The sequence below is a fragment of the Homo sapiens genome, chromosome 10 (genome assembly GCF_000001405.40).
Source record: "Homo sapiens chromosome 10, GRCh38.p14 Primary Assembly".
Taxonomy (NCBI): domain Eukaryota; kingdom Metazoa; phylum Chordata; class Mammalia; order Primates; family Hominidae; genus Homo; species Homo sapiens.
In genome coordinates this window covers 121,385,050-121,399,898 of record NC_000010.11, presented here as the reverse complement: position 1 = coordinate 121,399,898, position 14,849 = coordinate 121,385,050, and positions in this window count along the sequence as shown.

Here is a 14,849-nt window from a genome sequence, read left to right as displayed (position 1 = left end):
TCATGTGTTGATTTCTTTTGTCAGCATTTTAGACTTCCCTGCACACAGATCCTATACATGTTTTGTTAAGTTTATACTTAGTATTACATATTCTTTGGAGTTATTTTAAGTGGTATTGTTTTTAATTTTGGTGTCCACATGTTCATTGTTATATATAAAAATGCAGTTGATTTTTATGTGTTGATTTGTATCCTGCAATCTTGCTGAACTCTTGTATTAGTTCTAGTAGTCTTTTCTGTAGATTCTTTGGGATTATCTCCATAGATAATAACATCATGTGCAAAAGGACAGTTTTATTTCTTCCTTTCCAACCTGTATGCCTTTTATTTCCTTTTCTTGACTTACTGCTATGACTAGTAGTACTATGTTGAATAAATGTGGTAAGAGCCTACATCCTTGCATTGTTTCCAATTTTAGAGAGAAAGCACCTTTCACCATTAAGTATGATGTTAGCTGTAAGTTATTTTTGTAAATTCTCTTATGAAGTTGAGGGAGTTTCCCTCTATTTCTAGTTTGCTCAGAGTTTTTATCATAAATGGGTGTTGATTTTATCAAATTCTTTAATTGTATCAACAGATATAATCATATGGTTTTTCTTTTAGCCCACTGATAGGGTGAAATATATTGATTTTTTGTTTGAATGCTTAACTGGCCTTGCATACTTAAAATAAATCCCATTCAGTCCTAGTGTATAATTCTTTTTATACACTGCTAAATTTGATTTGTTAACATTTAGTTGATGATTTTTGCATCTAAGTTCATGAGAGAGATTAGTCTATAATTTTCTTTTTTTGTACTGTCTTTGTCTGGTTTTGGTATCAGGGTAATAATGAGGTCTCCTAAAATGAGGTATGTATTCCTTCCTCTTTTTCTTGGAAGAGTTAAATTGTATTAAATTGTTATTAATTTTAGAAAAATGCTTGGTACAATTATTCTCGAGTGAAATCATCTGGGCTTGTAGATTTCTTTTTTTGGAGCTTTGTTAAATTACAAATTCAATTTTAAAAATGGTTGTATGGGCCGGGCATGGTGGCTTACGCCTGTAATCCCAGCACTTTGGGAGGCAGAGGCGGGCAGATCCCGAGGTCAAGAGTTTGAGAGCAGTCTGGCCAACATAGTGAAAAGCCCCATCTCTACTAAAACTACAAAAAATTAGCTGGGTGCAGTGGTGTGTGCCTGTAATACCAGCTCCTTGGGAGGCTGAGGCAGGAGAATTGCATGAACCCGGGAGGTGGAGGTTGCAGTGAGCCGAGATAATGCCACTGCACTCCAGCCCGGGTGACAGTGCGACACTCCCTCTCAAAAAAAAAAAAAAAAAGAAAAAAAAAAGATTGTAGGACTATTCAGGTTGTCTATTTCATCCTGATTAACTTGTAGTTTGTGATTTTCAAGGAATTGCCCCATCTCTTCTAAGTTGTCAAATTTATAAAGTTTGTCTGTAGTTTTTCTTATTTTCCTTTTATTGAATCTGCAGTGATATCACCTGTTTTGTTTCAGATATGATCATTTGTATTTTCTGCCTTTTAATCTTTGTCAGTCTTGCTAGAGGTTAATCACTTTTTGTTGACTCTCTCTCTCTCTCTCTCTCTCTCTCTCTCTCTCTCTATTTTTTTAGACAGAGTCTCGCTCTGTCGCCCAGGCTGGAGTGTAGTGGTGCGATCTCGGCTCACTGCAAGCTCCACCTCCCAGTTTCACACCATTCTCCTGCCTCAGCCTCCCGAGTAGCTGGGACTACAGGCGCCTGCCACCACGCCCAGCTACTTTTTTGTATTTTTTAGTAGAGACGGGGTTTCACCGTGATAGCCAGGATGGTCTCGATCTCCTAACCTCGTGATCCACCTGCCTCGGCCTCCCAAAGCGCTGGGATTACAGGCGTGAGCTACCGCGCCCGGCCGACTATATTTTTAACAACTAGCTTTTTGTTCCATTGGCTTTCTATTTGGTTTTCTTATTTTCAATCTTATTGATTTCTGTACTTTGTTCTTTCCTTCCTAATGATTGCTTCGTGCTTGGTTTGCTCTTTTTCTTTCTAGTAAGAGTTATGAAAAGGATGTTTTACTTGTAAGAAAGAGGACCTGGGAGGAATGGGTATGTTCTATCTTGGTGGAACCAGAAGTCAGTTGTCTTTTAAAGGGATTTAAATAATAATAAAATCTTACATATTTATACATGTAATAACCATTTATGATCACCCAAATTCCTTCTGCCTAAAGACATCTTTTAGCTTATATTGTGGAGCTGTCAGTAATAAGTTCTTTCAGCTTTTGTAGATCTGACCATGTCTTTATTTTGCATTCATTTTATTTTTAATTTTAGAATAATTTTAGTCTTACAGGAAATGTGCAAAGAGTTATGGGGTTTTAGAGAGGAAAATCACACAGGTTAAGTGTCACTTTTATCACATTATATAAAAGTTTCTGATATGGTTTCACTCCATGTCCCCACCCAAATCGGGCTAAGTTTGAACTGTAATCTCCAGTGTTGAAGGCAGGGTCCGGTGGGAGGTATTTGGGTCATAGGGGTGGGTTTCTCATGAGTGGTTTAGCACCGTCTCCTTGGTGCTGTTTTTGTGATAGTGAGTGAGTTCTTGTGAGATCTGGTCATTTAAAAGTGTGTAGCACTTCTACCCGCCCCTTGTTCCTGCTCCTGCCATGTAAACCATGGCTGCCTCTCCTTTGTCTTCTGTGATGATTGCAAGCTTCCTGAGGCCTCCTCACCCATGCCTCCTGTACAGCCTGCAGGACCTTGAGCCAATTAAACCACTTTTCCTCATAAATTGCCCAGTCTCCGGCATTGCTTTACAGCAATGCAAGAACAGACTAACCGTTGCATACAATCCACATGACTTATTACTACTGATGCTGACCTTAATCACCTGCCTGAGGTAGTTTGTCAGGTTTCTCCATTGTAAAGTTGCTCCCCTCTTCCGTTTCCTTCCATACTGTGTCTTTGAAAGGAAATTTCTTTGTGAAGTTCACACGTAAGGGGTGGAGATTTATGTCTCATCTCCTCAAGGGAGCAGTCTTTACGTCTTTACACAAATTATTTGGAATTCTTCTGTTTGGGAGATTTGTCTATTATCCCTCATTTATTCAGTTATTTATACCAATATAGATTCATGGATTTTTTTATTTTTTATTTTTGAGATGGAGTCTTACTCTGTTACCCAGGCCGGAGTGCAATGGCGCAATCTTGGCTCACTGCAACCTCTGCCTCCCGGGTTCAAGCAATTCTCCTGCCTCAGCCTCCCGAGGAGCTGGAACTACAGGCGTGTGCCACCACACCTGACTAACTTTTTTGTATTTTTAGTAGAGACAGGGTTTCACCGTGTTAGCCAGGATGGTCTCGATCTCCTGACCTCATGATCCGCCCACCTTGGCCTCCCAAAGTGCTGGGGTTAAAGGCGTGAGCCACTGTACCCAGCTGGATATTTATTTTACGCTCTGATTTGTAGCCCAGTTCTATGTTATTTATTTTGTTGACACCTTCATTTTGAAAGACTTTTTGCCAAATATGGAATTCTGTATTGACATTTTCTTTTAGTACTTTAAGGATGTTGCTCTACCGTCTTCTGGCTTACACTGTTTCAAATGGTGAATCTTATGCCATTTTATTTTTTGTTCCTCTATACATAACATGTCTTTGTCTTTGGTTGTTTTTAAGCTTTTTCTCTTATTGGTTTTAATCAATTTGGTTGTGATACATGTTAGTGTAGTTTTCTTCATGTTTGAGATTTGTTGAGCTTCTTGGATTGTGGGTTCATAATGTTTATTAAGTTTGAAAAGTTTGTTATTCAAATATTTTTCTGTTACTCACTCTGTGTCGTCTCCTTTAGGGACTTATGTGGTATGAAATTGTCCCAGAGCATACTGATGTGCTTTGTAAAAAACAAACAAACAAACAAACAAAAAAATTCTTTTTTTTTTTTAACAACAGTGTTTCATTTTGGATGGTTTCTGTTGTTATACCTCCAAGTTTATTAATTTTTCATCTGCTGTGTCTAATCTACCATTAATCCCACTCAGTGTAATTTTCACCTTTTAAATGCTTAATTTGGGAACTTAAAAAATCTTGTATGTCTCCATTTTATTTCATATGCTTAAAAAGCTATAATAACTGATTTAATGTGCTTCTCTGATAATTCTAATATCGGTGTCAGTTTCAATTGATTGATTATTCTCTTCATTATGGATCATGTTTTCCTGCCTCTCTGCATGTGTGGTAATCTTTGGATGCTAGCCATTGTAAGTTTACCTTGTTGGGTGCTATTTTTGTGTTACTATAAATATTATTGAGTTTTGTTCTGGAATGCAGTTAACTTACTTAGAACATGTTTCATTTGTTTGAGTCCTATGTTTTTTATTTATTTATTTAATTTTTTTTGAGACAGAGTCTCACACTGTTGCCCAGGCTGGAATGCAGTGGCGCGATCTCGGCTCACTGTCAGCTCTGCCTCCTGGGTTCATGACATTCTCCTGCCTCAGCCTCCCGAGTATCTGGGACCACAGGTGCCCACTACCACGCCTGGCTAATTTTTTGCTTTTTTAGTAGAGATGGGGTTTCATCATGTTAGCCAGAATGGTCTCGATCTCCTGACCTTGTGATCAGCCTGCCTCGGCCTCCCAAAGTGCTGGGATTACTGGCGTGAGCCACTGCGCCTGGCCAAGTCTTATGTTTATGACTTGTTAGGTTGGTCCAGAGCTTGGCTCATTCCAGGGCTAATTATTCCTTACTACTGAGGCAAGACTTTCCAGAGTACTCTGCACAATGCCTCATGAATTGCGAGTTGTTTTCAATCTGACTGGAGGGAACTAGCACTATCCTTAGTCCTGTGTGAGTACCAGGCGTTGTTTTCTCTAATCCTTTTTATTGTGCTTTCCCTTGTCTTGCGTAGTTTTCTTACACCCATGCACTGATTAGTCCTCTGCTGAATCCTTGAGGACCCTCCACAGATCTCTGGGCTTTTCTTTCTATGCAGCTCACTTCTCTCTGTCCTGTGATCTCTAGCTGCCTTGGTCTTCCTGGGCTCTCAGCCTTGTATCCTCAGCTCAGGATTTCAACCTCATGATGGCTGACTAGGGATATCACATGTCAGTTCTCCTCAGAAGGAAGATCAAAGTTACTGATGAATGGCCAAATTTTGAGAGGAAAATGGAGGGAGGAGAGCCAGGACCTGTCACAGCATTCATGTGGAGAAGCTGGGGTACACAGAAAAACAAAGCAGGAAAAATCAGGCTGGGATTGACCATGAGGAGCTCAGAGCCCTGCAGAAAGGGCAGATGAGAGTGCTTCTCTGGGTCCTCACTCCTCTGGCAATCTGCTGAGTGTATCCTCAACTCAGGGAGTCTGTGAAGCTCTGCCTCAGTTTCCCTTCTTGGTGCCACATCCTGCGGATTCTCTCAAGGCAACTGCAGGGCTCTCCTTGTTTGTTTCCTGTCTCTCGGGGATCATGGGTTTCTATTGCCTCATGCCCGGTGTCATGAAAACTGTTATTTCCTGTATTTTTGCCTGGGTGTTTGTTTCAGATACGAGAGTAAATCCACTCCTGTTACTCTATCTTGATTGGAAAATCTGTAGAACTTTAATACACACACACACACACACACACACACACACACATGCATATATATGTATATGTATATATATGTGTGTGTGTATATATATACATATACACATATATATACATATATATACATATGTACACACATATACACATATATATACATATATACACACATATATACACATATATATACACACACACATATATACACACACACATATATACACACACACACATATATATATATACACATATATATATAGTCAGATCTCAGTCTTGGGGATTCTGAATCACTAGTAGCTCTGAGGTGAGTGGTGAATACACCCAAATTTCTGAGTTTAAAAAACAAAAAATCATAACAACAACAGTAACCAGCATTGGTGATTCTTATGCACTGGCCAGACTCCTCTGCCACAGCAACTGAGAACTCTGACTATAGCATGATAATAATTGTTATTACTTACTAGACATTTCCCATGCAGCACGCCCTGTGCTAGCTATTTTACATGATTTGTGTAATTTAATTTTTGTAACAAACCATTGGTCAAGCTATTCTTATCAGCGTATCGCAGAAGAGAAAACTGAGACAGAGGATACAGAAAACAACCAAAACAAAGATAGCCTTTAGTTACCTAGGGCCAGTTATTTTTAGTCTTGCTGAAGTGTCCAAAATATTACCCATCTGCAAAGCCCTCACTCTCTGATATTTGAACAAAGCAGGCAGCTGCTTTCAGAATTATTTTTATTCATTATAATAATTTACTGGGTTTTACTAACTCTGTCCTTGTGCAATTACTTTAGCATTTAGGGGTATCTTTGCCTTTCTTGATTATGATATTTTTGTTGTTTCAGTCCCTTTAAAGAAAAATTTAAAAATCAAATAGTAAACACAAAAGAACATTTGTTGCACGTGTAGGAAATAAAGACTGTCTGTGTAGGACACAGCGTAGGAAGTAAAGACTGTTGCACATGTAGGAAATAAAGACCCGCTAGCCAGCTTACAAAAGAGTTGAATGCCTTTTTACAGCCATTTCAGGTGAGACTGAGACTGAGGTACTTTGATTCAGTGCACAGACTTCAAACCACACCATCCCAGGCCTCCAGTTTTTCTCATCTTTATTCTGAGCAAGCTCTCCAAAATGTTTTATTTGATAAGGTTTGAAGATCAAGGCCCCTTGTGAACAGGGCATGCTACCTCACATATTCCAGGGACCAGATGCTCTCAGAGGAATCATTTAACTGTTTGCAAAAGAAGGGGGGCACTTCTGGCTGTCACATTGCAAGATGCATAGTTAATAAAAATGGAAGTATCTCTTCGGGAAGAATGGAGCATATGTTACAGTCTCATGGTAGGAATAACTCAGTTTCTAGACCAAAAATCAGAAACGGTTTTGGAATTGCATCAGGTACTTCGTTCCAGTGTTCTAGTCAAAAGCGAAACTGTCCTTGACCGCCACCTTGCTCACAGAAGGGAATGTGTGGCATGTTTTATTTTTCTCTCCAAAGAAAGTTACCTGCAGGCATCATAAGCAGAGCTACAGGTGTGTTAGGTTGAGGATGGCACCCTTTTCCCAAACTCAGCGGTGAATTTTCTACCTATGTGCAGTCACTGCACCATCCTAGAGATGGTGATGGAGAGTCTTGGGGTAAAAAGAATCTTTGAATTCATACACACACCAAACCCCTGCATACACAATACCACTAGTTGTTCACTATGTGTAGGTGCTTTCAGGATTGAAAGCGTGAATCAACACAGTTTCTGAATTAATAAGTATTATATATGTGTGTGTATGTGTGTATAATCTTTTTTTCAATTAAGAGATAAAATGCTATTATAGGCTGGGCGTGGTGGCTCATGCCTATAATCCCAGCACTTCAAGAGGCCAAGGCTGGCAGATCACTTGAGGTCAGGAGTTCAAGACCAGCCTGACCAACATGGTGAATCCCCGTCTCTACTAAAAATATAAAAATTAGCTGGGCATGGTGACGCACGCCTGTAATCCCAGCTACTCAGGAGGCTGAGGCAGGAGAATCACTTGAAGCCAGGAGGCAGAGGTTGCAGTGAGCTGAGATCGTGCCACTGCACTCCAGCCTGGGTGACAGAGCAAGACTCCATCTCAAAAAAAAAAAAAGAAAAAAAAAGCTACCATAAAGGGCGTTTGTGAGGTTTTCTGACATAACATGGTTCCTCCGCTTAGAGTTGAGAACCACTGACGATATCATCTAGTTTTGCTTCCTGCTTGAATTCTCATGATTCTGTGACTTTTGGGTAAGTCTACTGTATGTCCTGGGCTTTTCATGTTTTCAGTGCTAAGGAATCTATCTCGTGTAAAAATCTGTTGTTTTTTTATATTTTGAGAAGAGTATGTCCATGGATTGTAAGCAAAGGAGCTTTCTCGAAGCTCACAGTTGGTCTTTGTTGAAGCTCTCATGCCATTTTTGAACCCCCCTTGGGTATTTCTGTGCTCAATGCTCCACTCATTGCTTTCATAATCTCCTAATTCCCCGACTATAGGATTATATCCAGTCTGCTTCAGTTCATCCAATGATCTCTGAACCAAAATTATTACACTCATTTATTGTCTCATATTAAAACTCCTATGTCCTTAGTCCAAACAATTTCAATTAGCTAGGGCTTGGGGGAATGCAATCTGATTTAATTAAGTTATACAAATCCAGGAGTGACAGTGACATTTATGTTCTCCTCCCTTGGTTCACCCTCTCACCCCGACTCCCTCTCTTCTTGCGCTTCAAAACGCTGTAAGTTTTCACAGGTGCCAATATTTTTCACAGTGCGTAGTTTTCACAGTATGTAGCTCACAAATCAGGGAGCACAGAGGAAGAAGAGGAAAGCTGTAGGTTGTTGACACTAGCTGATTTTTTAATAAGATAATTTGCTTGTGAAAGTCTAGGATCCCTTATTGGGATGGGGAAGAATCACATTGATTATTTATAATCATATAAGTTAATATTGAAAGATGGCTATGGTTTATATTATTACATAATTGTGTTAATAATTATAATTGTATTAATTCAGGAGTTTTCTGGAGCTCTTTCCTACTCTATGAAAACAGTGAACCAGGTAGAATTGGTAACAGAGCCTGATTCCTAGATAGTGTTTATCTATCAGTTGGGGGGTTGCATGGCTAGAGTGGGAGGCAGTGGGGAGATGTGAGAGCTCCTCTGCAGCAGGGGGCCAATCAAGAGGCAGGGGTGCCCAACGTCTCAAATCCTTGCCTACAAAACAGGGTGCAGCTTCCACCTGAGGCATGAGGCCTGGATTCTAGTCCCTGGGCAGTGGATGGAGCATTGCAAGCTGATTCTTTGTATTAATAAAATATGGCTTAGAAAATTGGAGAAGCTTGGGCTAAGGAGCAAAGTCAAGGCTCTGTGATTAGGATGAAGCAGCTATGGAGGGGTTGGGGACAGGGACATTGGAAGCCCAAGCATTAGAACTGGAGTCCATATCCTGGGTCGGCCTAATGGGAAGCATGACCCCAATGCAAGCCCTTGTGCATGACTGGCTCGAAAACAAAGGTACGTTCTGTTGCAACTCAGGTGTGGTTTGATGAGACTCTTGGTCTCCTTGGAGCTTAGAAGTCTATTTGGGCAGCCAGCAGTGTAAACAGACATTCAGAATGCAACATGGTAAAAAGTGCTAGAGCGTCATTGCCAACTACATTTGGAAAGTGGTGGGAGACCAGGAAAGGATAAGGCTAACTCTGCCTAGAGGCTGTTGGGAGAGGTTTTCATGGGGAAAATACTCCAGGAATTGAAAGAACAAGAGAGCAGGTGAAGGAAAAGACATTTTAGATCAAGACAGGGGAAGAATGAGGAGCAAGTTTAGGAGCAGCCGGGTTTGACTATGGATGGGCTGAATTTCCTGGGGTGAAAAGTTATAGTTCTTTTATTGACTATATTGATTTAGGAATTTGTGTCCTACTCTATGGGAGACCATGAGGAGGATGAATTTAAGCAATAAAACATTGTTTGTACAGAAAACTCATGTTGGAAGCATCTTGACCAGCAAACAATATCAAAAAACTTTGATGTGAATAATTTTTAGTTATAAAAATTAAAGTGCAGGGTGTGCAGTGGTGCAAATGCAAACTCCTAGGCTCAAGCAATTCACCCGAGTAGCTGGAACTATGCCACCATGCGCCATTTGAGCTGCAATACCAAAATGCCTTAGACTGGGGAACTTATACACAATAGAAATTTATTTCTCACAGTTCTGGAGGCTGGGAAGTCCAAGATCAAGGCGCTGGCAGTGTCTGGCGAGGGCTCATTCCTCACAGATGGCACCTTTATACTGTTTGCTCCTATTGTGGAATGGGGTCATATAGTTCTCTGGGGTCTCTTTTATAAGGGCACTAATCCCTTTCATGAGGGAACAGACCTCATGACCTAATCACTTCCCCAAGGCCCCACCTTCTACTATCAGCTTGAGGATTAGGTTCCAATGTATGAATTTGGTGAGGGTTGGAGGGGGGCACAAACATTCAGATCATAGCATCTTATAAGTGGAATAATACAGTATTTATCCTTTTGTGACTGGCTTACTTTATTTAGCATAATGCCTTCAAATTCATCCGTGTAGCATGGGGCAGGATTTCCCTCTGCTTTAATCCTGAATTATATTCCATTTTCTGTATATACCACATTTTGTTTATCTATTCATCCACTGATGAAGACTTGGGTTGCTTCTACTTTTTGGCTATTGTGAATATACTGCCATGAACATGGGTGTACACATATCTGGTCAAGTCCCTGCTTTGGTTATATACTCAGAAGTGGAATTGCTGGATTATATGGTAATTCTATTTTTAGTTTTTTGAGGAACCACCATACCAAAAGCCCTATTCATTTTTAATGTAGGGTTTTGTTGTTGTTGTTGTTAAATTTTAAGATGTTGAACTAATTTTAGGCTTTCAGCAAAGTTGCAAAAATAGTACGGAGAGTTTTCATATACCTCTCACCCAGTTTTTCCTATTGTTAACATCTTACATAACCACAGTGCAATGAACGAAACCAGGAAATTAACATAAGAACAATGCAATAAACAGAACTGTAGACTTTATTGGAATTTTACATTTTTCCACTAATATCCTTTTCTGTTCCAGGATCCTATTCAGGATCTCACGTATTTATTTATTTTTTCTTCCAACTTTTATTTTAGGTTTAGGGAGTATATGTGCAGGTATGTTATATGGGTAAATTGTGTGTTGTGGGAATTTGGTGTACAAACGATTTTGTCACCCAGGTAGTGAGCATAGTACCCAATAGGTAGTTTTTCTGTCCTCATTTTCTGCCCACCTTCACGTAAGCCCCAGTGGCTATTGTTTCCCTCTTTGTGTCAGTGTGTACTCAATGTTTAGTTCCCGCTTCAAAGTGAGAACAGGTGGTATTTGGTTTTCTGTTCCTGCATTAATTCACTTAGGATAATGTTCTCTAGCTGCATTCATGTTGCTGCAAAGGACATGATTTCATTATTTTTTATACTTGCATAGTATTCCATGGACTATGTGTACCACATTTTATTATCCAGTCCACCATTGATGGGCATCTGGGTCGATTCCATGTCTTTTCTAATGTGAAAAGTGCTGCAATGAACATATATGTGCATGTATCTTTATGGTAGAATGATTTATATTTCTTTGAGTTTATACCCAGTAATGGGATTGCTGGGTTGAATGGTGGCAGTTCTGTTTTAAGTTCTTTGAGAAATTTCCCAAGCTGCTTTCCACAGAGGCCGAACTAATTTACATTCCCACCAGCAGCGTATAAGTGTTCCGTTTGCTCTGCAACCTTGGCAACATCTGTTATTTTTTTTACTTTTTAATAATAGCCATTCTGACTGGTATAAGATGGTATCTCATCGTGGTTTTGACATGCAATTCTCTAGTGATTAGTGATGTTGAGCATTTTTTCATATGCTTGTTGGCCACGTATTTGTCTTCTTTTGAGAAATGTCTATTTGTGTTATTTGCCCATTTTTTAAATGGAGTTGTTTGTGTTTTGCTTGTTGATTTGTTTTAGTTCTTCATAGATTCTGGATATTAGACTTTGGTTAAATGCATAGTTTGCAAATATTTTCTCCCATTCTGAAGGTTTACTCTGTTGATAGTTTCTTTTGCTGTGCAGAAGCTCTTTAATTAGGTCTCACTTGTCAATTTTTGTTGTTGTTGCAATTGCTTTTGAAATCTTTGCCAAGAGCCATGCCCATAATAGTATTTCCTAGGTTTTCTTCTATGGTGTTTATAGTTCCGGAGTTTGTTTAAATCTTTAATGCATCTTGAGTTGATATTTGTATATGGTAAAAGGAAAGGTTCCACTTTCAATCTTCATATGGCTAGCCAGTCATCCTAGCACTATTTATTGAATAAAGAATAGTTTTCCCATTGCTTGTTATTGTTGACTTTGTTGAAGATCAGATGGTTGTAGGCATGTGGCTTTATTTCTGAGTTCTCTAACCGGCTCCATTGGTCTATGTGTCTGTTTTGGTACCAGTAACATGTGTTTTGGCTATTGCAACCTTGTAGTATAGTTTGAAGTTGAGTAGTGTGATGCCTCTGGCTTTGTTCTTTTTGCTTAGGAATTCTTTGGCTATTCAGGCTCTTTTTGGTTCCATATGAATTTCAGAATAGTTTTTTTTTAATTCTGTGAAAAATGACATTAGTAGTTAGGAATAGCATTGAATTTATAAATCTCTTTGGGCAGTACAGCTATTTTAACAATATTGAGTCTTCCTATCCATGAGCATGGAATGTTTTTCCATTTGTTTGTGTCATCTTTGATTTCTTTCAGCAGTGTTTTGTAATTATAATTGTAGAGATCTTTAACCTCCCTAGTTAGCTGTATTCCTAGGGATTTTATTCTTTTTGTTGCAAATGGGATTGCATCCTTGATTTAGCTCTCATCTTGGACATTATTGATCCTACAAGTGTTATTGATTTTGTACATTGATTTTTGTATCCTGAAACTTTGCTAAAGTTGTTTATCAGATCAAGTCTCTGCTTTGGGGCAGAGACTATGGGGTTTTCTACACATAGAATTATATAATCTATGAAGAGAGTTAGTTTGACCTCCTCTCTTCCTATTTGAATGCTTTTACTTCTTCCTCTTGCCTGATTGCTCTGGCTAGATTTCCAGTAGTATGTTGAATAGGAGTGGTGAGAGTATGCACCCTTATATTGATTGTTCTCATTCTCAAGGGAGGATCGTATGTTTTATCCAGTTGTTATTTCTCTTAATCTCCAATCCATGACAGTGTCTCACTCTTTCCTTTCTGCCATGACCTTGATACTTTTGAAGAGTACTGGTCAGTTATTTTGTAGAAGGTGTCTTAATATGGGTTTGTCTGATATTTTGTAATAGTTACAAAGCTATGTATTTTTGGAGCACATACGACGGAGATGCTGCTGTGTCCTTCTAAGCACATCCTATCAACGCATCCTGAAATCAATATGTGTTGTTACTGGTCATACTAACTTTGATCACTTGGTGAAGGTGGTGTCTGCTAGGTTATTCCACTTTAAAGTTACCATCGTTTTTGTAGTTGGTAAGTATCTTGGAGTGATTCTTTGAGATGAGGCAAATATAGTTTTTCCTTAAACTTTCACTTCCTAATTTTAGCATTCATAAGTGCATCTTACCTGTCACAGTTTTTACTGTGATGTTTGTCTAATGGCAATTTTCTGTTTCCCTCTTTTCTTCTGTATTTATTAGAATTGTTCTGTAAGGAAGAGCTGTCCCTTCTCCTTCATTTATTTGATTACTAATATCACTATAGACACATGTATTATCTTATGGGTTAAAATCTAATACTGTGTTTTTTATTTTGCTCAAATTTTTCCAGCTTTGGCCATTAGGCCCTCTTTCAGGTTGTCTCTTGTTTTTTTTTTTTTTTTTTCTTGACAAGTCACTGTCTTTTTCTTTGAGTACATCCTTATTTTCTGATGTTCCAAGCTCATCTCATACATCACTTCCCTCAATCCTGGAATCAATTACTTCTCTAAGGAGCCCTGGTTTATTTCACTGGAAAATGATGTTTAGAAACCAATATCTGGGTGATAAGTGTGCTCATTGCTACTAAAGTGTCTTTGCTTCTGGCCTCTGAACAGAGCTGGGAAGTATATGTATGCTAACCTATGCATATACATGCATCTATTCTTCTGTATTTATCTGTGTCTTTGTATACATAAAATAGTCTCAGCTTACTAATACCTCTGATACCATTCTAACAACATGAGGTTTATTCTAACTTTTCATTTTTCCTTATTTGTAATTTTTTTCTCCAACAATGATAAACCTGCCTTTCATCTACTATATGCTTATTTGCTCAATTCTAACATACACATAAAACAATTTGAAATTGCTAACCCATGCCTCTCTGAGAAACACATTCACCAGCTAGACTGTAGTATTTCTGTACAGTTTTGTCTTTAGCCTTATAGTTTCTTTTTTTTTTTCCTTTTTTTTTTTTTTTTGATGGAGTCTCGCTCTGTCGCTCAGGCTGGAGTGCAGTGGTGCGATCTCGACTCACTGCAAGCTCTGCCTCCCAGGTTCACACCATTCTCCTTCCTCAGCCTCCCGAGTAGCTGGGACTACAGGCGCCTGCCACCATGCCCGGCTAATTTTTTGTATTTTTAGTAGAGATGGGGTTTCACTGTGTTAGCCAGGATGGTCTCAATCTCCTGACCTCATGATCCGCCCACCTCGGCCTCCCAAAGTGCTGGGATTACAGGCGTGAGCCACTGTGCCTGGCCTAGCCTTATAGTTTCTAATCAAGATACTGTTTTCCAAAGTTATTCAGGGTAATTTTCTTCTTGCCTAGCAGCATGGTTATGTAACACATATTTGTAATATAGCTAGGATCATTTGTTACTCTTTATATTCAGTTTTGGATTCCTTGTACATCTTGGCTGGTTTTAATTGTTTATTTTTTTCAGCAGGAGGAGGCCATTTGAAATAGTACTGTGGTTCTCAGATTAAGTGCTATATCAAAACAAAACAAAAACAAAATCCAGAAATTTCACTTCTTCCTCATTCCTGGCAAACCATCCCCTTGACCTCTTTTTTCCTACTCCTCTCTCATCGCTGGTTACCAGGCTCTTTGGCTTTTGGTTTCAACCCCTCTTGCTTACTATTACTTTTTTTTTTTTTTTTAAACAAATGAGCAGATAACATGAGCAGCTATTTTCTTACAGTCTCGTTTATGGGTTGAATTGTGTCTCCCTCCCCATTCATATTTTGAGCTCCTAGTCCCCAGTACCTTAGATTATGA